Genomic DNA, 3,571 nt, shown 5'->3' on the forward strand with positions numbered 1-3,571 from the left:
TAAGCTTTTTTGTTTTCAATCATTTTTCAATAGGTTATCAGTGTTGTGAATGGTTCATGAAAAATGATTTTGGGCTCAGTGAGTAACTGAAATGTTGTTGCTTAATAGTGTGTTTAATATTAATATAATAGTAACAAATGTTGTTATTGTTGAGTAATACTTATTTGGCTTTTCACTGCTTTTCTTTTCTAGTGTTTTAGTCAGAGACTTCTTAAGTCTCCTCAAGTGTGTACACATTTCTTAAGTTTGTTGGAAAGTACCAAATTTAAGATATCTTGCATTTTTTTCTTCCTTAGTAAACACTAAATTCCATCACGCAGCAGAAAAAGGGCTCTGTTATTGTTGGTACAATGGTTTAATATTCACTTGTATTCCCTGTATCGTAGTTCTGATTTAATTGCTATTTAGAATAAAATTTGTTCCTTATTATATGCATTCATAATTATAAAATTTGTGTTTTAATGCCTTCTACACATATACTGTGCTTTTCTTTATTTCCTTATATCTCTTACTGTTTCATGATCCTGGTATTTGAAATCTCATTAAGTGTTGTTTGGGGATTTGCTGGGAATGTCATCTACATAGTAATGTCTCAAGTTTGTAGCATCTTTAAAACATAATAGGAGATGGAATTCACAGCAGAGTAATAAACCTCCCGCTTTAGGCAATGTATTTGTGATTGGTATGACTTTGTTCCCAGAGGGCAGTTAGCAACACAATATTAAGGCTATGTGTACAAGGAAAACAAATTTTAAAAATCTCCTTTAAAAAAACAGTTTCCTATCCTAACCAGTATCATGCACAGAATCCGTTTCCATCTCTTCATATGGAAGCAGCTCTGGGTGGACATCTAGAAAGTTGGATAACTATTTATCACATATGATCTGTAAAGGGAGAGATTTACAAGAAAGTGTTAAATTTAATCCATAGGAAAGCAAAGTCAAAAATCAATGAATTTTCCATTTGTAGTTTTCCCTAGGGGCTCCACTCTCAAGATGGCTTATATGCGTTAGAACTAATTGACTAGGCACAATTGTTTGTTAGTGACATAAAAGCAAGGTGAGCATTTCTGCTTTATGAGTCCAAGCACAGGGGCATTGGTTTTCTTTGGAAGGATATCATAAAGGCAATGTTTATGAGTAATCCCTCATTGTCTTTCCTTCTGTAGCATTCAATGGTATGTACTATAATTTAGAAATGAAAACTATTTAAAGACCACTTGCTAAGTTTCATGTATTTCAAATTCTCAGATCCTAAGTGTTTAAATATGCCTATATTTCTTCATGAAAAAAAACATAATCTTTGCCAAGTTAGAAAAAGAAAAAGTCATATTCCCATTTTTATCTAAATGTAATCAGAAATTTGGACAGTTTTTAGCCTTCAATACATTATGTAATTTGGGTAACAGGTTGAATAAAAGTAAGGAACTTCAGTTAAATTCAGAGAGAAGCTAGTAATTATTTCTAAGACTCAAATGTATAGAACAGATCTCTGATAGTAAGGGTAAAACCCTCAAAGGTGACCCAAAATGGGTAATTGTGGGATTATTTTGGGAGGAATCATCATAGATTCTTACTGCTATAAATACAGTCAAATGTCAGATAAATATACTCCACTGAAATGTTTTCTAGGAATGATGTTGGAACCAATGTTGGTAATTTTGAAAGTCATGGAGAGGATTTCAGATGATAGAAGTCGGGCAACTATCCCAGGTTTAATAAATAAGTAAATTGTGAGTTCCAAAAATGCTGTATCAATGAGCCTCATATTGATCCTGAGCACAATTTCAGGAAGGTCCATTAAATGGGTCTTTGGAGAGCACTTAGGATAAAAGGCTGGCAGCAGGGATTCACTAAGAGCAATGGTGCCAAGCTTGTCTCTTTAGCATTGTTATGTGACTGATAAAGGTAGGCTATAGCGATACACAATACAGATATTTCCAGGGTAAAGCTGTCGAGCTGCTGTAATTTTCCTTGCCTCTTCACTATCTTCTCCTATAGTTGACTCCCAAGGAAAAGATAGTTGACTTTTAATCTAGAAATGTATGTTAATTAGCAAAAACAAACAAATGAAACCATAAACTATCCTTTAGGCTTCTCTCTGCTCAGTTATTAGATCATATGAATGTGCCCTTAGGAAACACAGAAGACCCACACTACTATAGAGACAAATTTCTTACATTCTCTGCTGTTTAATGCTCTTCAAAAGACTTACCATACTTCACTAATTTGATTACCAACTACTTGAACACAGGGACCAATGTGCTTATTAAAAATTTTGCATATTATGAGGGCATTAACTTTTAAGTATTCGATTGTTAAGACAATGCATATTATTATAAACCATAGAAGGCACACTTATTACCTCCTTAAGAACCAGTCTCTATTTCTCTGGTTCATAGATCTCCAAGGTCATAGAGGGATTTTACATTTGTGTCTTCAATTGGCCCTCTTCAGCCCTAGGATAAATAGTGATTAATCTAAGCCAATGGTTTTCAGCTCTGTCTGACCCAATGCCTCTACTTCACAAGAAACTCTTCAAAGACCCCTTCGCTATTCTAAACTATTAGTGAGAACACAATGTATGCATTCAAGTTGTTGAAAATATTAATGTTATGCTGAAGCTAACAAAGGAGAAATAATTTACTGTCAATATATAATCCAAAATGTATATAATTGTGCCAGAACATTTACATATCAAATACAATAGAACATAATGAAATTTTCATATCTTCACCAATACTTTGATACATTGTAAATAAAAAGCTACAGATATAGTTTCATTGAATAACCAAATGCCAAAACTGCCATTTCTATTGTTGACATGATTGATCTGCATTGGTAAATGTAATAGATACTTTCTGTTTGGCCCTTGTCCCCTGTTATACTCCCCTATTTACTGGCTTTTGTCCAAGTGGAATGGTCCATATTGAATATCTCAATCGGTTCCCTTGCTCATTGCCTTCTATGCATGTTCATGAGATTAAAGGGAAGGAGGTAATGGGATTGGGGGTTATTGCCTAAACTCCCTCTCTGCTAGGTCTCCTTGACCAATCTTTTTCATAAGAAAATTAGTGTTTCCTTGTGTGATCAGGGCAGTTTACTCTCAAGAACTCTGCCTGCTGCTACTAACCCAGAGTTATTGTGGGGTGTGATTTCTGTGATTCCTTCACCCTTCTCCCCTGACATTTTCGTAAGTAGTCTCTTTGGAAATAAACCCATGTTAAATTATCTTAGTTTGTGTGTGTTCTATTTTTCCTATTGAGACTCTGAAATGAGTATCTAAATGAAAAAATCTACCGTCTTTTCTCATATACATAGTAGTTTCGTTCTTGCAAAATTCATGGCATATTAAAACCATGCAAAAGTATTTGGCACTTAGGCAGTTACATTTGGGATTGTATAATTAAACAAAGCAGGTTATTCGCCTTCATTACATTAGAAAGTCTTTCAGGACATGCAGCAATCCTTAATTAGGAGCGGCTATCCCATGTTACTGGACATATGGCATCCCTGTTTTCCAATCCTTAAAGTTTTTCCTTAAAGTTCCAAAATGCCATCACTTATTATTT

At 34.3% G+C, this 3,571-nt stretch overlaps 1 annotated feature.

Annotated features, from left to right (window-relative positions):
* Positions 2,723–3,224: an enhancer, noted in NCBI's record as "OCT4 hESC enhancer chrY:13420602-13421103 (GRCh37/hg19 assembly coordinates)". NCBI's record gives its function as "activates a minimal SCP1, AML or CMV promoter by ChIP-STARR-seq in naive H9 embryonic stem cells {active_cell/tissue: H9 hESC(naive)}" and the evidence as "EXISTENCE:reporter gene assay evidence [ECO:0000049][PMID:30033119]".

The sequence above is a fragment of the Homo sapiens genome, chromosome Y (genome assembly GCF_000001405.40).
Source record: "Homo sapiens chromosome Y, GRCh38.p14 Primary Assembly".
NCBI lineage: Eukaryota > Metazoa > Chordata > Mammalia > Primates > Hominidae > Homo > Homo sapiens.